We start from the raw sequence: 25,114 nt of genomic DNA, 5'->3' as shown, positions 1-25,114 counted from the left end.
ACGGGCTTTCAAATACAACTTTAAGCTTCCTAAGGACAAAGTTAAAAGAGAAATACAATATTTAACAATGTATACAATATCTGTGTGATAAAGACTAACTTAATTTGGTAGAAGTAGTAAGGCTGTAAAAGAAATATTTCTTATATATTATCAATGTATAGACAATGTATAGGATGAAGTATTTACACGATAGTTAATTAAATATAACGATTTCACCTTAATGTAGGCAGATAGCATAATGCAGTTGAAATCTCATAAACACTTACACTGAGGTTTATGACATATTAGAAAAAAATGTGTCAAATAGTACAATGAGATTCAGTACTAATAGAGAAACCCACAGTGAAGTATGAGACTATACAAGCAAACGAATACTAAATAGGAGAGTATGAAATGTGATCCTCATGAGTTTAGACTTTAGAGTGTAATAAGGTGATTCTCAATGTGTGTGTGTGTGTGTGTGAGAGAGAGAGAGACGAGTGAGAGGCAGACATTGTGTACATGTGTGGGAGGGTAGTGAGTGGGGAGAAACATGAAGGAGAAATAACGGGCATATTCCCAATTTAGGAACTTTCCAAAGCATAAAGGTATGCTTAATAAACAAGTACTATTTTTCCAAAAATAAAGACTGTAGGAAGTAACAAAACATACTCTTTTTTTTTTTTTTTTTTTGAGACGGTGTCTTGCTGGGTCACCCAGGCTGGAGTGCAATGGCGCCATCTCTGCTCACTGCAACCTCCACCTCCTGGGTTCAAACATTTCTCCTGCCTCAGCCTCCCAAGTAGCTGGGACTACAGGCACATGCTACCACACCCAGCTAATTTTTTTATTTTAAGTAAAGATGGGGTTTCCCCATGTTGGCCAGGATGGTCTCCATCTCTTGACCTCATAATCCGCCCGCCTCGGCCTCCCAAAGTGTAGAGATTACAAGTGTGAGCCACTGAGCCCGGCCTTGAAAAATATTCTTAATTAGTAAGGCAATATACAATGTAGTATGAAAAATCATTGTGGGATATAATCAAGCTGTAAGGAAATATCAAATATGTTTAAAAATGAATGTAATTATCATAGTGATCTTTTTAAAACCTGCATGAAACCATAGTAGTTCACTGCTTAAAACCCACAGTTACCAGTAAGAACTTGTAACATGGCTCAAAATCCCTTAAGATCTAGCCCTTGCCTACCTCTAAAGCCCCACCCTGTGCCGTTCTTTCCCTTTCTCCATATGCAATTCCTCTGACCAAATATGACCTCTTTGAATATTTGTTCTTGCTGTAAAACCCGTTGTATATGCTTTTTTCTTGGCTGGAAACATCTTCCAAGCTTCAGGTCTCATTTTAAACTCCTTGTGAATCTCCAATCTCTTCTTAACCTCCACCACCACCACCACCACCACCACCACTCCCCCACCAGACCAGCTCAGCTGCACTATGCAATTTCACTTAACCTCATCTTCAATAAATTTATGTCATATTATAATTAAACATTTTTGTGATTTGTAAGCTCTGTTAAGAAAAAAAAAATTCTCCTTTGCTTATCCTAAAAATCTTAGTTCCTATCACAGGACTTGACATATAACAGGAGCAAAACAAATATTTGTTGTAGGAATAAGTATTTTTTTTTTTTGAGACAGGGTCTAACTCTGTTGCCCAGGCTGGAGTACAGTGGCGTGATCTTGGCTCACTGCAACCTTTGCCTCCTGGGTTCAAGCGATTCTCATGCCTCTGTCTCTCAAGTAGCTGGGATGAGAGGTGCACGCCACCATGCCTGGCTCACTTTTTGTATTTTAAGTAGAGACAGGGTTTCACCATGTTGACCAGGCTGGTCTTGAACTCCTGAACTCAAATGATCTGCCCACCTTGGCCTCTCAAAGTGCTGGGATTACAGGCATAAGCCACTGCACTCAGTTTAGGAATAAGTATTCTTAAGCTCTTATTGTAATGATGAAATGGAAAGATAATTTAAAAAAAAGAGTCTGAAGACAACAAGAAGAGGTAAAGAGACTTTTAGTGAATACAAATTAATATAAATAATAAAGCCAGAAGAATGATGCAAAGAAAGCATAAAGGAAAAGGAAAATAAATCTCACTAAATGGTACAGGAAAAATGTCACTGTGTAAGTAGTATTTTAAGTAAATCTAAAGGAATGTGAAAGGCAGGCTTAAATTGTAAAAAATAGAAGCAAGGGATGCTACTGTGGTAGACAGAATAAAGGCCCCCTCCCAAAGATGTCTAGGTTCTAATCTCCAGAAGTTATAAATTGGTTACCTTACATGGCAAAAAGGACTTTGCATATGTGATTGAATTAAAGGTCTGGCGATTAGGAGATTAATATGGATTATCATCGTCGAACCAATGTAATCACAAGGGACCTTATTAAGAGGGAGGCAAGAGGATCAAGGTCAGATAAAGGAGATATAACAATGAAAGTGGAGGTTGGAGTGATGCACATGGAAGGTGGAGAAAAGGGCCACATGTCAAGAAATGCAGAAAGCCTCTAGAAGCTAAGAAAAGCAAGGAAATATATTCTTCTTCTGGATCCTCCAGAAGGAATGGGGGAACTTCCTCAATTTGATAAAGAGTATCTACAAAAAAAAAAAAAATTGAAACAACCTCAACAACAACAAAAAAACCCTACAACTAACATCACACTTAATTATGACAAACTAAGGAATTTTTCCCTAAGATCAGGAAAAAAAAGGCACGGATATGCTTCTCACATCTCCTATTCAACATCATACTGGAAGTCCTAGCTAATGCAATAAGACAAGAAAAGGTAAAGACATACAGAAGGAAGGAATGAAATAAAATTGTCTTCATTCAGAGATGATATGATTGTCTATTATAGATAATACACAGAGCTTCTAAAAGATAAAATGGGAAAAAATTTAGGTAAACTTGAGTTTAGCAATGAGATTTTAGATACCACATCAAAAGCAGGATTCATGAAAGAAAAAATTAATAAGCTGGACTGTACTAAAATTTAAAACTACTCTGAGAAGAACACTGTTAAAGAAATAAAAAGATGAGTTACAGAGTGGGAGAAAATATTTGCAAAACATATCTGATAAAAGACTTGTACACAAAATATGCACAAACTTTTAAAACTCAACAATAGGAAAAGAAACAATCCAATTGAAAAGTAGGCAAAAGATCTGAGCAATCACCTCAGCAGACAGTATACACAGATGGAAAATTAACATATGAAAAGATGCTCAACATCATATGTCATTAGGAAATTGTGAATTAAAACAATGTCATGCACTACATGCCTATTAGGGTGACTAAAATCTAAATCCCTGAAAACAGCAAATGTAGATAAATATGTGGACAAGCAGGAACTCCCAGTCATTGCTGGTGGGAATGCAAATAGTACAACTCCTTTTGAAAAGTTTGACAGTTTTTTCAAAACTAAATATGGTTTTAGCATATAATCAGCAATCATACTCCTATGTATTTGCCAAGTGAGTTGAACTCTTGCATCCATACAAAACCCGCACACAATTTTTAATGTGAGTTTTATTCACAGTTGCCAAATTTGGATGCAAGCAGGATGTCCTGCAGTAGGTAAATGAATAAATTATGGTAAATAGAGTCTTATTTTGTAATAAATGTAAATGAGCTATCAAGCCATGAAAAAACATGGATGAACCTTAAATACATATTTCTCAGTAAGAGAAATCAGTATGAAAAGACTACATACAATACAATTCTAACTATATGACATATTGGAAAACACAAAACTACACAGGCAGTAAAAACATCAGTAGTTGCCAGGGGTTAGGAAAGGAAGAAAGGAAAGGATGAATAGGCAGAGCACAGGACATTTTTATAGCAGTGGAACCATTCTCTGCTATGCTGTAATAATGGATGCATGATTAAGCATTTGTCAAAAGCTATTGAACTGTAAAACACAAAAGTGAGTCCTAACATAAACTACTGACTTTAGTTAATTATAATATATCAATATTAGCTCATCAATTGTAACAAATGTTTCACATCAATGCAAGATATTAATAACAAAAACTGTTGAGGACAGAGGGAATGGGGTCTAGGGCAGAGTAAATATGACCTTTCTGGACTTGCTTTAATTTCTCTGTAACCCTAAAAAAGCTCTGAGAAAGAAACTTTAAAAATTTTGAAAAAAAACATTTGACTAAAGATTGCTTAAAAGAAACAAATTTGCTGCCTAATGTATTGTTGTCACCAGGCAAAAAATAGACTTTAAAAAAATGGCTCATTTTCTACTTTTTATTTTGTTTATGTTTCTATTCTAGTCTATTTCTCCAACTCAAAAATGTTCTCCAAAAGTATTTTGGAACAGTTGTCAACTTATTAATAGAGGTAGCATTTCTGACATCAAGTGAGAATCAGTTCTATATTTCAAAGTAGAGCACAAAAAGGCTTGAATTCCTTAAGGATTCCACAAATGGCTTTGATATGGTTTGGCTGTGTCCACACCCAGGTCTCAACTTCAGCTGTATCTCCCAGAATTCCCACATGTTGTGGGAGGGAATCAGGGGCAGGTAATTGAGTCATGGGGGCTGCTCTTTTCTGTGCTATTCTCATGATAGTGAATAAGTCTCACAAGATCTGATGGGTTTATCAGGCATTTCCGCTTTTGCTTCTTCCTCATTTTTCTCATGCCACCACCCTGTAAGAAGTGCCTTTCACCTACCGCCATGATTCTGAGGTCTCTCCAGCCATGTGGAACTGTAAGTCCAATTAAACCTTTTTTTTTTCCCAGTTTCGAGTATGTCTTTATCAAAAGCATGAAAAAGAACTAATACAGTAAATTGGTACCAGTAGAGTGGGGCATTGCTGAAAAGATACCTGAAAATGTGGAAGCGACTTTGGAACTGGGTAACAGGCAGAAGTTGGAACAGTTTGGAGGGCTCAGAAGAAGACAGGAAAATGTGGGAAAGTTTGGAACCTCCTAGAGACTTGTTGAATGGCTTTGACAAAAATGCTGATAGTAATATGAACAATAAGGCACAGGCTGAGGTAGTCTCAGATGGAGATGAGGAACTTGTTGGGAACTGGAACAAAGGTGACTCTTGTTATGTTTTAGCAAAGAAACTAGAAGCATTTTGCCCCTGCCCTAGAGATTTGTGGAACTTTGAACTTGAGAGAGATGATTTAGAGTATCTGGCAGAGGAAATTTCTAAGCAGCAAAGCATTCAAAAGGTGACTTGGGTGCTCTAAAAAGCATTTAGTTTTAAAATGGAAACAGAGCATAAAAGTTCAAAAAATGTGCATCCTGACAATGCAATAGAAAAGAAAAATCCATTTTTAAGAGGAAATTCAAGCTGGCTGCAAAAATTTGCATAAGTAGCAAGGAGTCTAATTTTTTTTTTCCTTTTTTGGAAACAGAGTCTCACTCCGTCACCCAGGCTAGAGCTCAGTGGCATAATCTCCATTCACCACAATCTCCCAGGGGTTCAAGCAATTCCCCTGCCTTGGCCTCCTGAGAAGCTGCAGACACTCAATGCCAGACTGTGAAATCAGCCAGGAGGGAGACTGTCCCTGCAAAGCCCAGGGGCAGAGCTGCCCAAGACCATGGGAACCCACCATTTGCATCAGCGTGACCTGAATATGAGACCTAGAGTCAAAGGAGATCATTTCGGAGCTTTAAAATTTGACTGCCCTGCTGGATTTCGGGCTTGCATGGACCCTATAACCCATTTGTTTTGGCCAATTTCTCCCATTTGGAATAGCTAGATTTACCCAATACCTGTATGCCCATTGCATCTAGGAAGTAACTAGCTTGCTTTCGATTTTACAGGCTTATATGTGGAAGGGACTTGACTTTTCTCAGGTGAGACTTCGGACTGTAGACGTTTGGGTTAATGCTGAAAAGAGTTAAGACTTTGTGGGACTTTTGGAAAGGCATGATTGGTTTTGAAATGTGAGGACATGAGATTTGCGGGGGCGGGCAGGGGCAGAATGATATGGTTTGGCTGTGTCACCACCCAAATGTCATCTTGAATTGTATCTCCCAGAATTCCCACATGTTGTGAGAGGGTCTCTAGGGGAGGTTGTCTAATCATGAGGGCCAGTCTTTCTCATGCTATTCTCATGTTAGTGGATAAGTCTCACAAGATCTGATGGATTTATCAGGAGTTTCCACTTGTGCTTCTTCATTCCTTCTTGCTATGTGGCAAGAAGTGCAGTTTTCACATCCTAATGATTTCATCTCCTTTGTCCCAACCAATCAATGACCCCAATTTTCCAGGCCCTCACCCTCCATAATCCCCTTAAAAACCCTAGGGCTTGAGGATTCTGTTCACTTAGTGGCCTATTATTAAACTCTTTCTCTTCTGCAAACTTTGTTTTCTCAGTGTATTGGTCTATTGCTGTGCAGCAGGTACAGGAAACTGGCAATTGTATCGCAACATTATGGGAAAAGATGTCTGTGGGATAGGAATCCACTAAAGATCTATCCCGTGAGTTTCTGGATCCTTATGCCTCATCTTAATTTCCTAAACTATAGTTTATAATGCAATAGTATATCATGAAATTATTTTAGTGAGCCTAGTTTTATGTTACCTTTGCTGGGAAAAGAATATAATGCAATGGCATGAAATGAAATAGAATAGATCAGAGTTTAACACACATGCATGTGCATATATGTGCGTGTATGTAAGTTAATACTAGGTCGTGCTGCAAAAGGCATTACTATTTTGGGTCTAACAAAACATTTTGAAAGCCAGCTAACCTACATATTACATATTTTTAAGTTTTTGCAGCTTATTTCTTTCTTTATTCAGAATCCAGAAATAAGATTGAGAAAAAGAGATAGGCAGAGACACCAATGCATGTGACAGTGCCAATAAAATAAGCAATTTTCTTAAAACAAACACATTAGTTAATATGTGTTGCATTTTTAGATATTTAGTTGTTCATAGATATAAAGTGGTTCTACTGATATGTTGAATAACAGCAGATAATCAATGACCACTTATCAATAATTTATTCAGGAATGAACCAGCTGTGACCCACAGGCCAAATTCACTTACAATCTGTTTTTGAAAATAAAGTAGAATGCCATTTCTCACCACTTCTATTCAACATAGTATTGGAAGTCCTAGACACAGCAATCAGGCAAGAGAAAAAAAGAAAGTGCATCCAAATAGGAAGAAAGTCAAACTATCTATCTTTGTTTGCAAATGACATAATTTTATATCTAGAACACCCCATAGTCTCAGCCCAAAAGCTCCTCCAGCTGATAAACACCTTCAGTAAAGTGGCAGGATACAAAATCAATGTACAAAAATCACTGGCATTCTTATATACCAACAACAGCCAAACTGAGAGCCAAATCAGAAAGGCAATCCCATTCACAATTTCCACTAAAAGAATAAAATTTTGAGGAATACAGCTAGCCAGGGAGGTAAAAGATCTCTACAAAAGATCTCTACAAAGAGAATTACAAAACACTGCTCCAATCAGAGAAGACACAAACAAATGGAAATACATCCCCTGCTCATAAATAGGAAGGATCAATATCATTAAAATGGCTACACTACCCAAAGAAATTTACAGACTTAATGCTATTCCTATGAAACTACTAATTACATTCTTCACTGAACTAGAAAAAACTATCTAAAATTTGTATAGAACCAAAAAGATACAGAATGGCCACAGCAATCATAAACAAACAGAACAAAGCTGGAGACGTCACATTACCTGACTTCAAACTATGCTACAAGGCTACAGAAACGAAAACAGCATGGTACTGGTACAAAAATAGGTGCATAGACAAATGGAACAGAATAGAGAACCCAGAAATAAGCCCAAACATCTATGACCATCTGATCTTGATCAATGCTGACAAAAGCAAACAATAGGGAAAAGACTCCCTGTTCAATAAATGGTGCTGGGATAACTCACAAGCCATATGCAGAAGACTGAACTTAGACCCCTTCCTTACAACATACACAAAAATCAACTCAAGATGGATTAAAGACTTAAATGCAAAACCCAAAACTATAAAATCCCTGGAAGACAACCTAGGAAATACCATCCTGGACATAAGACTGGGCAAAGATTTCATGACAAAAACATGAAAAACAATTGCAACAAAAGCAAAAATTGACAAATGGGATATAATTAAACTTAAGAGCTTCTGCACTGCAAAAGAAAGTATCAACAGAGTAAACAGGCATCCTCTAGAATGAGAGAAAATATTTGCAAACTATGCATTCAACAAAGATCTAATATCCAGCATCTATAAGTAACTTAGTTTTACAAGAGAAAAATAACTACATTAAAAAGTGGGCAAATGACATGAACAGACACTTCTCATAAAAAGACATACTTTCAGCCAACAAGCACATAAAAAAAAAACTCAATACCAGTGATCATTAGAGAATTATAAATCAAAACCATTATGAGGTACCATCTCACATCAACCACAATGGCTATTACTAAAAAGTCAAAAAATAAGAGATGCTGGTGAGGTTGTGGAGAAAAAGAAACACTTATATACTGTTGGTGGGAGTGTAAATTAGTTCAACTATTGTGAGAAGCAGTATGGCAATTCCTCAAAGAGCTAAAAGCAGAACAACCAATCAACTCAACAATCCCATTACTGGGTATATATCCAGAAGAAGATGAATCATTCTGCCAAAAGACACTTGCACACAAATGTTCATTGCAACACTATTCACAATAGCCAAGATATGGAATCAACATAAATGCCCATCAATGACACATTGGATAAATAAAATGTGGTACATATATACCATAGAATACTATGCAGCCATGAAAAATAATGAGATCATGTCTTAAGTGGGAAAACAGGTGGAGCTGGAGGCTATTATCCTTAGCAAACTAATGTAAGAACAGAAAATCAAATACAGCATGTTCTCACTTATAAGTGGGAGCTAAATCATAAGAATTTATGAACACAAAGAAGGAAACAACAGACACTAGGATCTACTTGAAGGGGGAGAGTGGGAGAAGGGAGAAGAGCAGAGAAGATAAATATTGGGTACTAGACTTAATACTTGGATGATGAAATATCATGTACCACGAACCCCCATGGCACGTGTTTACCTATGTAACAAACCTGCACATGAACCTCCAAACCTAATATAAAAGTTAAAAAAAAAGAAAATAAAGTTTTCTTCTAAAACAGCAACACGTTTTATTTACATATTATCTTTGGCTACTTATAGGCTATAAAGGCAGTGATAAGTAGTTGCATCTGACTGCTTAGCCAACCAACCCTAAAATATTTACTTACATGAACCCTACAGAAAAAAAATGGTCAATGCCTGGTTAAAACAAATACTATACTTCACTGGCTATTAGATTTTGGCACTTGGGCAAGTTTGGAAAAATGGAATATATTTTCTTTTAAGAAAATGGGATATATTAATATAAGAGAAAAAACAAATATAACTTGGCCTTTAAGCAAATCGACAACACTTTCAAACAATTTGTTAAAAATAAAAAAAAGTATGGTATCATTTGTTAAATGCTTGCCTTTTGCTTCACTAATGTTTCCTCTAGCAAAACTTTTTTTTTCCTTTTTTTTTTTTTGAGACGGAGTTTCACTCTTGTTGCCCAGGCTGGAGTGCAATGGTGCAATCTCCGCTCACTGCAACCTCAGCCTGCCGGGTTCAAACGATTCTTCCGCCTCAGCCTCCTGACTAGCTGGATTACACGTGCTTGCCACCACGCCTGGCTAATTTTTTGTATTTTTAGCAGAGACGGGGTTTCACCATGTTGGCCAGGCTGATCTTGAACTCCTGATCTCAGGTGATCTACCCGCTGGGTCTCCCAAAGTGCTAAGATTACAAGCGTATTATATCTCCTTTTGCGTGCGAGAAAAGTGTGGTTTAGGGAGATTCAGAACTTAGCAAAATTTACTTAGTATATAATTTACCTAGAAAGCAATGCAGATGATACAAGATTTCAAGCCTGCTGAATTCCAAAACTATATTCTTAACAACTATAATGAGTGGTTACACTTTTGGTCCTGAACTATGAAGTGTCTCATCAATACACATAATCCCAAGTAAAAAAATAAAATTCAAATTAGATGCCCCACAGAGAATGAGTCCATTGTAACTTCCTTATTAAACAAAAAAATACACATTTATTTATTTGCATTGCAAGCATTCTCCTTGATAGAAAAGAAAAATGACTGAGACTATAGCTCATATAAGATTAATTAAGTGGTGTTATACAATCAGTTACCTACTGTCAGGGTGAATAGAGAAAGAATATACAACCATAGTAACTCATTAAAAATGGAATTATGCTTTGCCATCCTCCAGTTGTGCATCCTTAGCCAACACTATTAAACTGTCTGAGCTTCAAAGCTTTCATCACCAAAATGAGTCTAAGAAATTTGCCCTTGCAGAGATGCTGTGAGGATTTAATAAAATTGTGATACAAAACGCATAGAAACTAGTAGACAATAAATATTAAATGATTATGAAACACATTGGTTATATTGGAAGTATAAATTCCTTGCAACAATGTTTATTATAAATTGTACACATTCTCTAGTGGTATTGCAAAACAATAGGCTTTCATTTCTCTGAAATAATATAGGTCTGCTTTTCCTATCCGAGCAGGTAGATTTTATGAAAGTAGGCATCAATAATTGCTTGAAGCCTTGTCACTTCCTCCATCTAAGTAGTAGTAGTATCAGTTTACTGGACATAGATAAAGGCTTAGTGCTGACCTTACACTCCATGCAGGTTATGCATGTCTAACCTTGGCTCCCACCATTCCAGCTCATTGGTGCAAATGTTGTGTACTTAAAATTCTCAAGGGTTCTTGTCACTAACCTCATCCATTTCCAGAAGCCCACTTCTGTGAACTCTTTCCAATAATCTACCACTATTTCCTAGAAAATAAAATAGCTTGTAAAAAATAGAGTTTTAGGGTAAAACTTTACCTTTTAAAATCTTTACCTTTTAAGGTAATGGCTTAGTTAAAACACGGTCTCAAACCTAGTAGAAATAGCATTTTCTGCTAATAAATCTGTGCCACATACAAAACATACATATTCTGCACACATACTGTAAAAAAAAATTCTGTCTCTGTAGTTATTCTTTCAAAATTATTTTAAGTCCAAGAAAACTGTCATTTTCCAAATGACTGTAATAGGCAACAAATGCTACTCTATTATTAAAAGGCAAGCAACCCACTGCTTTATCATTGTCAAGATTCTTCTTCACTAACATTTCCTAAGCATTTACTATGCATTACTGTGTCCGGAATTGGTTCCTTCCGGTGGGTTCCTGGTCTTGCTGACTTCAAGAATGAAGCCTCAGACCCTCACAGTGAGTGTTACAGTTCTTAAAGATGGTGTGTCTGAAGTTTGTTCCTTCAGACATTCAGATGTGTCCAGAGTTTCTTCCTTCCGGTGGGTTGATGGTCTCACTGACTTCAAGAGTGAAGCCGCAGACCTTTGCAGTGAGTTGTTACAGCTCTTAAAGTTGTCACGTCCAGAGTTGCTTGTTCCTCCTGGTGGGTTCATGGTCTCCCTGACTTCAGGAATGAAGCCGCAGACCCTTGGGGTGAATGTTATAGCTCATAAAGGTTGTGCAGACCCAAAGAGTGAGCAGCAGCAAGATTTACTGTGAAAAGCAAAAGAACAAAGCTACCACAGCACAGAATGGGACCCAAGCGGGTTGCTTCTACTGGCTCCGGTGGCCAGCTTTTATTCCCTTGTTTGGCCCCACCCACATCCTGCTGATTGGTCCATTTTACAGAGAGCTGATTGGTCCATTTTACAGAGTGCTGATTGGTCCGTTTTTACAGAGTGCTGATTGGTGCGTTTTCAAACCTTTAGCTAGACACAGAGTTCTGATTGGTGCGTTTTTACAGAGTGCTGATTGGTGCATTTACAAACCTTTAGCTAGACACATAGCGCTGATTGGTGTGTTTACAATCCTTTAGCTAGACATAAAAGTTCTCCAAGTCCCCACCCGACCCAGAAGCCCAGCCAGCTTCACCTCTCATTACAATGCATTATACTGAGACAGCCAAATGCCTAGGCAGATAAAAAGAGGTCCCCAGAGAATCTCCAGCCCGCCCTACAAGTGTTTACATCAGATGCTTTTGAGCAGCTGAGGGAACCTGCCCAGGGCTTGTCTGGGCATGCCCACAGCAGACTGGAGCCCCACCTGTGCACTATGGGAAGTGGGTGGAACCATGGGGAATTCCTGCCTTATGCAAGGGAGGCATCTATTCTCTTCAGCTTTTGTGGTGACCTGGGAGTCAATCTGTGAGGTGGAGGGCCTGTTAGCAGGACTGCATTTCACTTTGCTGAGTTTTATTTTCCTTTTTTTCCCTTTTCACCCAATAAAATCCTGCTGTACTCACCCTTCAATGTGTCCCCATGCCTAAATTTTCCTGGTCGTGTGACAAGCTCCTAGTTTTAACTGAACTAAGGAGCAAAATTCTGCAACATTATTTAATATTCATTAAAATTCCATGAAGTGCTATTTAATGTATATGAAAACTAAGGCTTAACCATTCATAAGTTACCCCAAGTTTTACAAGTAGTAAGAAGAGTAAAAGGGATTAAGAGACAGCCTTATAGCCTTTTCTAACACTAAAGCATCTGCTCTTATATATTAAGAAATTATATTTGCATTTCAGTTGTGGTCATTTGGGATAGTATGTTCTTCACTTGCAAATAACTATTATTAAATTCAATGTGTGAAAGATTAGCAAACTTAAAAAAGGCCTATTACAACGACAGAGGGACGAAATTACCAAGATATTTATGGCTACTTTCACTTCATCAGATATGCAAAACAAAGTATGGTTTTAGGAGGTCTTTATAACAACTTCTTTTATACATTGACCAATGTATGGCATATAAAGGTCTTTAATATGAAATGAGACTTGTTAACAGCAAGCAAAAAATTTTACAAATCTTAAATCGAATGAAGACCAGCTTATTTTGCTTCTATAAGGCAAAATACTTTCACATTTGGCTCTCTGTTGACCTTCTGAATTTCAGTGGGGACCCAGGTACAACTGAGTGTGAATCTTGTCTTATGTGAAGCTCAACTCTGGCTTTATGTCATCATTCTTAATTTCATGAACCTAATATATGCTTGTTCCCCATTTCCATTTACCTTAAGCTTCAAAACAAAAGCAAATCTTATACTAATGGGTGTTTAAGTGCTGTCTTTCCAGGGCATATTTGCATTTTAAGCTTGGTAATTCTAATTTACAACACAAGACTTTTAACTTCTTTTCTTCTGGTACAGGATTTTTTTGACATTATGAGGTAATAGGACACGTAACTTATACAGTTAGCTGTTTCAGGAGACTAGTGCTATGGCCATAAAAAAGCACTGGTGTTTCACTGGGAAGTTTAAGGGAGGAATAAGCCAGATAAATTGTCTGGAGTCTTAGTCTTAGGAGCTGTGAACAGTGATAGAACCCTGTCCCTCCTGGATCCAGAGTCTAAATTGCACAGCCCAGGCATTTCTTCCTTCTTCCCTCCAACCTTCCTCTCTAACTCTTTGTCTTAACACAGCCATGTATCTTTAAGTGTGAAGAAGTCCAAATCTATAGATTTGGAAACCAAAAATAAAATTCAAATCCCACTCACCAGGCTGTCATTTGAATGAGCCTGCTCCTCCGCCAGGGCACCCTAAAATTTAACCTGAAAGACTGGTTCATGCCATGAAGTGAAGTGAGGGTTGAACATGCCTCATTTTATCCCTCCAGCATTAACATCAACACAGTCCTTAAGTCTGATAAGAAACATTTATAACCTATTATCTCTAAAGCCTGCTACTTGGAGGCTTCATCTGCATGACAACATCTAGGCCCCCACAACCCCTTATTGTAACCCAGACATTTCTTTCTATAGATAATAACTCTTTGAACCAAGTGACAATTAGAATATGTTTAAATCTACCTATGACTTGGCTGCCCCACCTCTGCACCACTGCTTTGAGTTGTTCTGCCTTTTCGGATTGAACCAATGCAAATCTTACTTTTATTGATTTTTATGTCTCCCTAAATAGTGTAAAAGCAAGTCGTAGCCCTCGACCTCCTTGGGCATAGGTCGTCAGGACCTCCTGAGACTGTGCCAATGGCGCATCCTTAACCTTGGCAAAATAAAGTTTCTAAATTAATTGTGACTTATCTCAGATACTTTTTGGTTTACAGATTACAGATTTTCTATTCACCCAAAAGTATTTTTAAAATATTGTGACATTTTTATAATAGCTTATGGCTGATTTTTATTTTGTCTATTTACAACTGGCTATGATCGTTGTAGTGAGTCAATACGTGAGTAGCATACCCTGTCCCTACTAATGCTGCTGTTATTGCTTTCTACGCTGCTTCTGAGACTAATCATTTCAAAACTCAACGCATAACTTATTTGCTGAGTGTATATATTAACATAGGGCAAAAGTAAAATTTCTATTTTTTTTGCTGAAGTGTCACTTGTTGCTTCATATTTATAGATGAATTAAAGATCAAATTATTACTTTTTATAAATCATAACTGAAAAGTTTTACCCTCAAAGAGATCGGTCTGACAATATATAAAATGCAGGATCATGGACTAAAAGTGAAAATTATACTGTGCTCTATGAGGTCACAGTGTAATTCCCCAAAGTAGTTATTTTTCAGTTTTATTCTGAGACAGTATAATTGATTTAATAAATTTGATCAATACTTGTTTGTTTCTACTACTTCTGATTGTGAATTTTTTCAGATAATTTAGATTACTGTTTAGTTCAACAGTGCAAATATTTTCATAAAAAATGAAAAGCAAACAAACTTAGACAAACTGAAAACTATAAAATTAACTTTACCACTGAAAGCTCAGGAATAAGCCCTAAATATATTTTCATAAATATCTCTACTTCCTGTTTAAAGATGAATAATCTTTTAGCTCTTAATTCCAATTACTCCCACATTTAATTTATGCCATGTTCTTAGGGCCTTGTCCAAACAAGCATCACTTCTCAATTCATTATCTTCCTAATCAAAACCCTGCCACCTCCCAATACCTGCTATTCAAGTCCCTTCAGACATTAATAGACAATCCTAGTGAGGAAGGAGAATAGGGCCTGGAGGCAGGGAACCTAAGGACTTCCTAGAACTAAATCAAGCTGAAACACTTCAGCTATGACAGGAAATAGCCTCTTCATTTACTTAGAGTGTACACCGAGTAAATGACTTTGTAACTTCACTTTAGCCACTTCATTTACATAGGGCGTGCACCAAGTAACCAATGGAAAACTCTAGAGGGTATTTAAACCCCAGAAAATTCTGTAACTGGGCCCTTAAGCCACTTGCTTGGGCCTACTCCCACCCAGTGGAGTGTGCTTTCATTTTCAATAAATCTCTGCCTTTGTTGCTTCATCCTTTCCTTGCTTTGTGTGTTTTTTCCAATTCTTTGTTAAAAACTCCAAGAATCTGGACACCTTCCATTGGTAACATATTTTAGCAAGCCAACTAAGAGGTAAGCACAAAGTTTAAGATTTATTTTTCTCCTTTTTCTTTCTGCTCCATACATGGGAATCTCAATCTCTCTCTCTCTCTCTCTCTCTTCCTTTCCCACTCAGGACCCTTGATGGGCGTGCAACAATTTTCAAGCAAGTTTCAAGTTCACATGAATTCAGTATAACTTTACTAAACAAGCTGGTTTTAAAATTATTCATAAAATAAAAATAGAAATGCCTTCAGAACTGTCAGCATACATTTTTGTCTGGATTCTATATTTGTCTCTTCTAGATATTTTCAGGTGTCGGGGTTTGGCATAGAAGGTTATTTACAGATTCAATGCCATCCCCATCAAGCTACCAATGACTTTCTTCACAGAATTGGAAAAAACTACTTTAAAGTTCATATGGAACCAAAAAAGAGCCTGCATCACCAAGTCAATCCTAAGCCAAAAGAACAAAGCTGGAGGCATCACACTACCTGACTTCAGACTATACTACAAGGCTACAGTAACCAAAACAGCATGGTACAGCTACCAAAACAGAGATATAGATCAATGGAACAGAACAGAGCCCACAGAAATAACGCCGCATATCTACAACTATCTGATCTTTGACAAACCTTAGAAAAACAAGCAATGGGGAAAGGATTCCCTATTTAATAAATGGTGCTGGGAAAACTGGCTAGCCATATGTAGAAAGCTGAAACTGGATCCCTTCCTTACACCTTATACAAAAATCAATTCAAGATGGATTAAAGACTTAAACATTAGACCCAAAACCATAAAAACCCTAGAAGAAAACCTAGGCAATACCATTCAGGACATAGGCATGGGCAAGGACTTCATGTCTAAAACACCAAAAGCAGTGGCAACAAAAGCCAAAATTGACAAATGGGATCTAATTAAACTAAAGAGCTTCTGCACAGCAAAAGAAACTACCATCAGAGTGAACAGGCAACCTACAAAATGGGAGAAAATTTTTGCAACCCACTCATCTGACAAAGGGCTAATATCCAGAATCTACAATGAACTCAAACAAATTTACAAGAAAAAAACAAACAACCCCATCAAAAAGTGGGCAAAGGACATGAACAGACACTTGTCAAAAGAAGACATTTATGCAGCCAAAAAACACATGAAAAAATGCTCATCATCACTGGCCATCAGAGAAATGCAAATCAAAACCACAATGAGATACCATCTCACACCAGTTAGAATGGCAATCATTAAAAAGTCAGGAAACAACAGGTGCTGGAGAGGATGTGGAGAAATAGGAACACTTTTACACTGTTGGTGGGACTGTAAACTAGTTCAACTATTGTGGAAGTCAGTGTGGCGATTCCTCAGGGATCTAGAACTAGAAATACCATTTGACCCAGCCATCCCATTACTGGGTATATACCCAAAGGACTATAAATCATGCTGCTATAAAGACACATGCACACGTATGTTTATTGAGGGGCACTATTCACAATAGCAAAGACTTGGAACCAGCCCAAATATCCAACAATGATAGACTGGATTAAGAAAATGTGGCACATATACACCATGGAATACTATGCAGCCATAAAAAATGATGAGTTCATGTCCTTTGTAGGGACATGGATGAAATTGGAAATCATCATTCTCAGTAAACTATCGCAAGAACGAAAAACCAAACACTGCATATTCTCACTCATAGGTGGGAATTGAACAATGAGATCACATGGACACAGGAAGGGGAATATCACACTCTGGGGATTGTTGTGGGGTGGGGGGAGGGGGGAGGGATAGCACTGGGAGATATACCTAATGCTAGATGATGAGTTAGTGGGTGCAGTGCGCCAGCGTGGCACATGTATACATATGTAACTAACCTGCACAATGTGCACATGTACCCTAAAACTTAAAGTATAATAATAAAATAAAAAAAGAAGGTTATAAAACTATAAACCCAGCCAAAACAAAATGATCTTGCTTTACATGCCTTTTTTTTTTTAAACAAATGAGAGTAATTCAGCATTAGCTAAATCTCCTGAGTTATTGGCAAAAACACCTATGTATTTAACTTTGAGAATCTTGCTTAGGTTTAGGTGAGCACCTGATGTTCACTGGCTAGTAAAAACATGGGTTAACAAGGAAATAACTAACTTTAAATGATAGTGTCTAATATCTCAGTTTACAGAATTAGTCTAGATAAACTGTTAAAGTGAAAGAATTGAGTACAGTGAATGAGATAAATGTTTTCAGTAAACTTTTTGTGTAAATTAAAATCTTAAAATTATTTTTAATGCTTATTGAATATTTGGGTCTTTTCCAATTAAGAAAGAGTTGTGATATGGGGAAATCTGTTCCTAAAATAGTGGCATTATTCTTATCTATAAATACTCATATCTGATAGTTCAGGATTTCTTGCTTTTTAGGGTTTCAGTAAACCTTTAGGTTACTAAGGATAAGAATTCTAGTAAACACAAAATTCTGTATATACAATGTGCCAGAAAGGATTGTGTTATTAGTGAGAAAAAGAATAATTTTGTCTAATTCAGAAGTTATCTAAAAGTTAGTTCAAATTATAGATTTGAAAAGATTATTTATGAAACAATGTAGTAACGAACCAGTAAGTAGGGAAGAAAGATGTGGAAACAGTTTAGATAATAAAATATTCTTTAAAGCCTGATAGAGAATTGACTTCATTCTTTACTTGCTTTCTTTGTGCATTTTGTCCAATTCTTTGTTCAAAATGCCAAGAACCTGGAGACCCTCAACTGGTAACACTAGTTACCTGATGCACTGCCTTCTTTCACTATTATGTGTAATAAATACTGGCCTCAAGTTCAACACTTCCACCTCTTTGCATTACACATCCATCACAACCCTCAAACATTTATTTAAATGCGTTATCCTAGAATTGTTCCCCCATAATTTATGTCATAGTGGCCAAGTTCACTAGACCTTTTTCTTGGTTGGCTTGTCTTAGACTTCAATACCATTCTTACTCCATTAATAATACTTCCCCCCTCAACTTTCCTCAAAATACTTTTCTTTCTTCTCCTCTCTGTCTACCATTTTCTGCATGTCTACCAGTTTGTTTTCCTTTAACTAGAACCTGAACTCAGATGATAGATAGGTAGATTAGATAGATAGATAGATGGATAGATAGATAGATAGATAGATAGATAGATAGATAGATAGATAGACATAGATATATATAGCGATATATACAGGTGATCAGGTGATTGCTTTTTCTTTTGAGCTGTGGACGTACATGTCCAAGTTGATAACTTAATGGTCATTTGGATAAACCTTAGACCATTCAATCTCAATATAGATAGTCTCACTACGTATATAAAATCTGTTCTTTTTGGATATTCTTGTGCAATAAGAGAGTTGAGAATTTTCCTCCAGTCATCCTTTCCCTCATTCTCACTTCATCAAGTTCTCTCAAGTCTAGATTCTCGTTCTCTCTATACTGCTGTACTTTCACTATCCCACAATCATCGCCTAAGTTCAGTTCCATTAACGTTTTTGGCTTTCTACCTTTGCCTTCAGCCTAAAATATTGCTACTTTCTTCCTGGTTTCAACACCTGTCAACCTTTTATTCATGCCTGAATTTGATCTTGATTTTTAACCCATCATTGTCTCTCCTATTCCTTCAGTATAAAATCCAAGTTAATTAACATACCTATGCCAACTAAACTTCTCACCTCATACTTCCTGTGATGGTTAATGTTGAGTGTCAACTTGATCGGACTGAAGAATGCAAAGTATTGCTTCTGGGTATGCCTATGAGGGTGTTGACAAAGGAGATTAACATTTGAGTTAATGGATGGAGAGAGGCAGACCCACTCTCAATCTGGGTGGGCAACATCGAATCAGTTGCCAGCATAGCTAGAATAAAGCAGGCAGAAGGTGTTGGAAAGAGCAGACTTGCTGAGTCTTCCAGCCTTCATCTTTCTCCCCTACTGGATGCTTCCTGCCCTCTAACATCAGACTCCAAGTTGTTCAGCCTTGGGAATCTTGGCTTAAACCAGTGATTTGCCAGGAACTCTGAGGCCTTCAGCAACAGACTAAAGGCTACACTGTCAGCTTCCCTGCTTTTGAGGTTTGGAGAGTCCAACTAGCTTCCTTGTGCCTCAGCTTGCAGATGGCTTATTTTGAGACTTCACCTTGTGATTGTGAGTCAATACTCCTTAATAAATTCCCCTTTATATATACATGTATCCTGTTAGTGCTGTCCCTCTAGAGAACCCTGGCTAATACAGATTTTGGTCCCAGGATTGGTTTTAGAGGAAGAGAATTTTAAGGATGGATTTCTTTAGTTGGTTTGGGGGTTTCTGGAGTTGGCTGCTTAATACGATTAGACCCAAAAATGCTAAGGACTCTACTTCTAATAGTATGGAGAACACTCATAGTCCTTGGCATAAACTGTTTAGAGATTTAGGCAAAATAAATGCATTTGATATTCCTGATTCACTACTCATGAAAGGCAAGGAGTTTAGTGACTCTGTACATACTTTTGACCATATTGGAGAACCAAGAAATGTAATGAAGTTGGCTGGTTGTTCCTAAGTTCACTGGACAAAGTGATGAAAGAAAAGGATGAGCTAAGAGCATCTAATTCCCAGCTCCAGAAGCACATACTTGAGCCTCAATCTTCTAAGATTGCCCTGAGTGAGAGTCTTATCTCCTGTAGGCAAAGGGCTGAAATAGTGAAAAATAGGACACAAACTCTTATCATGAGAGTGGCTGACCTGCTATGAAAGGTGCACACTCAGTCTTGCCAAGTGTCTACTGTTAAATTGAGGGCCTTGATTGCAAACTAATGGCACCCTGCAACTTGGAATGGGGACATGAGGGAGGACACTAATGAAGCTGGTGACACTGAGCTTGTAAACTCTGATGAGCCCTGTCTGTCAGAGAAAACAGCCTCCCCAACCCCAGTGGTGGCAACATCCTCTCTCCCACCCATGCTGCCATCAGCCTTCCCACCTTTGTCTGAGGAAATTAACCATGCACTGCCTGAGGCAACAGTGATGGCCTGCCCTGAGGCAGTTACCAGGAAAGACAATGCCTATTCTCCTCAGAAATCCCCCAACACCCCAACTCTCCTGTTTGCTTCTAGGCCCATGACTAGACTTAAGTCCCAGGAGGCCCCTAGAGGTGATGCTCAGAGTGTTACCCACAAGGAGATGTGCCACACTCCAAAAGAACTCCTTGAGTTTTCTGATTTCTATAAGAAGAAATCTGGAGAATAGGCATGGGAATGGATATTAAGGGTGTGGGATAATGGTGGAAGGAACATAAAGTTGAATTTATTGATATGGGCCCACAAAAGAGGGATCCTGCATTTAATATTCCAGCTCAGGGAGTTAAAAAAAAAAGGTTATAATAGTTTATTTGCTTGGTTAGCTGAAAAATGGATCAAAAGATGGTCCACTATGAGTGACCTGGAGACGCCTGTTCTTCCTTGGTTTACTATAGAGGAAGGGATTCAAAGGCTTAGGGAAATTTGAATGCTAGAGTGGATTAGTCACTTTAGACCTACTCATCTCAGCTGGGAGGGGCCAGAAGACAAACCCTTCACCAATACTTTGTGAAAAAGATTTGTGAGGGCAACACCTGCAGCTTTGAAAACTCTGTGATTGCTCTTCTCTGTATGCCAGATCTTACAGTGGGAACCACAGTCACTCAACTACAAAATGTAAATGCAATGGGAAGAATTGGATCCCAGGGTGACTGGAGCCAAGTTATAGCACTCAACCATCAAAGCAAAGGTGGGTATAGTTACTGTAATGGATGCAGAGGCAAAGCAGCAATCAGAATAATCTGACTCACATGGAATTCTGGAGTTGGTTAATTAATCATGGTGTTCTTAGAAGTGAAATTGATAAAAAGCCTACTACATTCTTACATAATTTGTATAAGCAGAAAACTTCCATGCTGAGTGGACAAAAGACTTATTTGAATTATAAATAGAGACTCACAGCTCCCCAATCAATTTCCAGACTTGAACCAGTTTACAGACCCAGAATGCCTGAGCAAAGAGAAGATGGGTCCCCTTGAGGGAGGACCCTACTATGCTACCGAAAATTTATACTGTTAATCTTTCTCTCATTCTTCCCCAAGGAGACCTCCAGCCTTTTACCAGAGTAACTGTGCACTGGGGAAAGAGAAATAATTAGATTTTTAGGGGACTATTGGACACTGGATCTGAGCTGATGTTGGTTCCAGGAAACCCAAAACGTAATTGTGGTTCTCTAGTTAAAGTAGGGGCTCCTGGAAGTCAGTTAATTAATGGAGTTTAGCTCAGGTCTGACTTACAGTGGGTCCATTGGGTCCCAAAACTAAACCTGTGGTCATTTGCCCAGTGTCAGAATACATAATTGATATAGACATACCTAGCATCTGCCATAATCCCCACATTGGCACCTGACTATTAGGGTGAGGGCTCTCATGTGGGAAAGGCCAAATGGAAGCCATTAGAGCTGTCTCTACCGAGAAAAATATTAAATCAAAAACAATATCCCATCCCTGGAGGGATTGCAGAGATTAGTGCCATCATCAAGGATTTGTAAGACACAAGGGTGGTGATTCCCACCACATCCCCATTAAACTCACCTATTTGGCCTGTGCAGAAGACAGTTGTATCTTGGAGAATGACAGAAGATTATCTCAAGCTTAACTAAGTGACAATTCCAATTGCAGCTGCTGTACAGATGTGGTTTTATTTCTTGAACAATAAGACATCCCTGATGTCTTATAAACAATATCCTGGTATGCAGCCATTGATTTGGCAAATGTCTTTTTATCCACCCCTGTCCAAAAGGCCCACCAGAAGCAATTTGCCTTCAGCTGGCAAGGTCTGAAATATACCTTCATTGTCCTACCTCAGGGGTAAAGCCACTCTCTGGCTTTGTGTCATAATCTTGTTTGCAGAGATCTTGATCATTTTTTGCTTTCACAAGATATCACACTTATCCATTACATTGATGACATTATGCTGATTGGATCCAGTGAGCAAGAAGTAGTAAACACACTGGATTTATTGGTGAGATATTTGAGTGCCAGGAAGTGGGAAATAAATCTGACTAAAATTCAGGGACCTCCTATCTCAGCAAAATTTCTAGGGGTCCAGTGGTGTGAGGCCAGTTGAGATATTTTCTATCCCATCTAAAGTGAAGTATAAGTTGCTGCATTTGGCCCCTCCTACAACCAAGAAAGAAGCACAATACCTAGTGGGCCTTTTGAATTTTGGAGGCAAAACATTTCTCATTTGGTTGTGTTACTCTGACCCATTTATTCAGTGACCTAAAAGGCTGCCAGTTTTGAGTGGGATCCAGAATAGAGGAAGGCTCTGCAACAGGTCCAGGCTGCTGTGCAAGCCGCTATGCCACTTAGGCCATATGACCCAGCAGATCCAATGGTGCTTGAGATGTCACTGGCAGATAGAGATGCTGTTTGGAGCCTTTGGCAGGCTCGCATAGGTGAATCACAGTGGAGGGCTTTAGGATTTTGGAGCAAGACCTTGCCATCTTCTGCAGATAGTTATTCTCCTTTAGAGAGGCAGCTCTTGACCTGTTACTGTCTTTTAGTAGAAACTGAACATTTGACTATAGGTCTTCAAGTCCCCATGTGACCTAAACTGCCTATCATGAACAGGGTGCTTTCTGACCCATCTAGCCATAAAGTGTGTCATGCACAGCATCATTCCATCATCAAATGGAAGTGGTATATGTGTGATTGGCCTCAAGCAGGTCCTGAGGGCAGAAGTAAGTTAAATGAAGAAGTGGCTCAAATGCCCATGGTCTCCACTCCTGCCTTCTCTCCCCCAGCCTGTATTGATGGGGAGTTCTCTATGATCAGTTGACATGTTCTGCATGATATGCAGACGCCACCTGAAAGTGGACAGCTGCAGCACTACAGCCCCTTTATAAGACATCCCTGAAGGACAGTGCTGAAGGGAAATCTTCCCCGTGGGCAGAACTTTGAGCAGTGCACCTCGTTGTGCACTTTGCTTGGAAGGAGAAATGGCCAGATTTGTGATAATGTACTGATTCATGGGCTGTAGCCCATGGTTTGCCTGGATGGTCAGGGACTTAGAAGAAATATAATTGGAAAACTGGTGACAAAGTAATTTGGGGAAGAGGATGCACTTCTCTAAGTGATCAAAAACTGTGAAGATATTTGTATCCCATGTGAGTGTTCATCAACAGGTGACCTCCACAGAGGAGGATTTTAATAATCAAGTGGATAGGATGACTCATTCTGTGGACACAACTCAGTCTCTTTCCCCAGCCACCCCATCATCACCCAGTGGGTCCATGAACAAAGTGGACGTGGTGGCTTGGATAGAGGTTATTTATGGGCTCAGCAACATGGATTTCCACTCAGCAAGGCAGACCTGGCTACAGCCACTGCTGAGTGCCCAATTTTCCAGTAGTAGGTACCAACACTGAGCTGTCAATATGGCACCATTCCCCAGGGTGATCAGCCAGCTACTTGGTGGCAGGTTGATTATATTGGACCTCTTCCATCATGGAAAGGGCAGAGGTTTGCCCTCACTGGAATGAACATTTACTGCAGATATGGGTTTGCCTATCCTGCATGCAATACTTCTGCAAAGACTACCATCCATGGACTCATGGAATGCCTTATCCACCATCATGGTATTCCACACAGCATTGCCTCTGACCAAGGCACTTACTTTACTACTTAAGAAGTGCAACAATGGGCTCATGTTTATGGAATTAACTGGTCTTACCATGTTCCCCATCATCCTGAAGCAGCTGGATTGATAGAACTGATTGGAAGGCCTTCTGAAGTCACAATTACAACATCAACTAGGTGACAATATTTTGCAGGACTGGGGCAAAATTCTCCAGAAGGCTGTGTATGCTCTGCATTAGCATCCAATACATAGTACTCTTTCTCCCATAGCCAGGATTCGTGGGTCCAGGAATCAAGGAGTGGAAGTGGAAATGGCAAGGATGCAAACAGGTCCAAGCTGCTGTGCAAGCTGCAGCCTGGACCTGTTTGGTGAGCTTGATGGTGAGCCTGGACTCACCATCACCCCTATTGACTCACTAGCAACATTTTTGCTTTTTGTTTCCATGACACTACATTCTGCTGGCCTAGAGGTCTTAGCCAAAGGGAGGAATGCTGCCACCAGGAGACACAACAATGTTTCCATTAAACTGGAAGTTAACATTGACACCTGGTTACTTTGGGCTCCTACCTCTAATTCAACAGGCTAAGAAGGGAGTTACAGTGTTGGCTGGGGTACTGACCAGGACTATCACAAGTAAATTAGTCTACTACTCCACAGTGGCGGTAAGGAAGAGTATGCATGGAATACAGGAGATCCCTTAGGGCATCTCTTAGTATTACCATGCTCTGTGATTAAGGTCAATGGGAAGCTACAACGACCCAATCCAGTCAAGACTATAAATGATGGAGACCCTTCAGAGTCACTCTACCAGGTAAAAAACCACTACTAGAGGTGCTTGCTGAAGGTAAAGAGAATACAGAATGGGTAGTAGAAGAAGGTAGTCATCAATACCAGCTATGACCACGTGACTAGTTGTAGAAACGAGGACTGTAATTGTTATGAGTATTTCTCCTTATTTTGTTAAGAACGTGTTTGTGCATGTATACACTTGTATTAAGAAAATATTTTCATTT

General features: G+C 38.7%; 3 annotated features.

Moving 5' to 3' along the window:
- Positions 4,379-5,578: an enhancer, noted in NCBI's record as "CDK7 strongly-dependent group 2 enhancer chr4:63303986-63305185 (GRCh37/hg19 assembly coordinates)". NCBI's record gives its function as "activates an origin of replication core promoter dependent on BRD2, BRD4, P300/CBP, MED14 and CDK7 cofactors, with strong dependence on CDK7, by STARR-seq in HCT116 cells {active_cell/tissue: HCT116}" and the evidence as "EXISTENCE:reporter gene assay evidence [ECO:0000049][PMID:35650434]".
- Positions 12,020-12,209: an enhancer, noted in NCBI's record as "active region_21592". NCBI's record gives its function as "activates an Ori minimal core promoter by ATAC-STARR-seq in GM12878 lymphoblastoid cells {active_cell/tissue: GM12878}" and the evidence as "EXISTENCE:reporter gene assay evidence [ECO:0000049][PMID:35858748]".
- Positions 12,220-12,279: an enhancer, noted in NCBI's record as "active region_21591". NCBI's record gives its function as "activates an Ori minimal core promoter by ATAC-STARR-seq in GM12878 lymphoblastoid cells {active_cell/tissue: GM12878}" and the evidence as "EXISTENCE:reporter gene assay evidence [ECO:0000049][PMID:35858748]".

This window comes from Homo sapiens, chromosome 4 (assembly GCF_000001405.40).
Source record: "Homo sapiens chromosome 4, GRCh38.p14 Primary Assembly".
NCBI lineage: Eukaryota > Metazoa > Chordata > Mammalia > Primates > Hominidae > Homo > Homo sapiens.
This window is presented reverse-complemented; position numbering and strand designations above follow the sequence as displayed.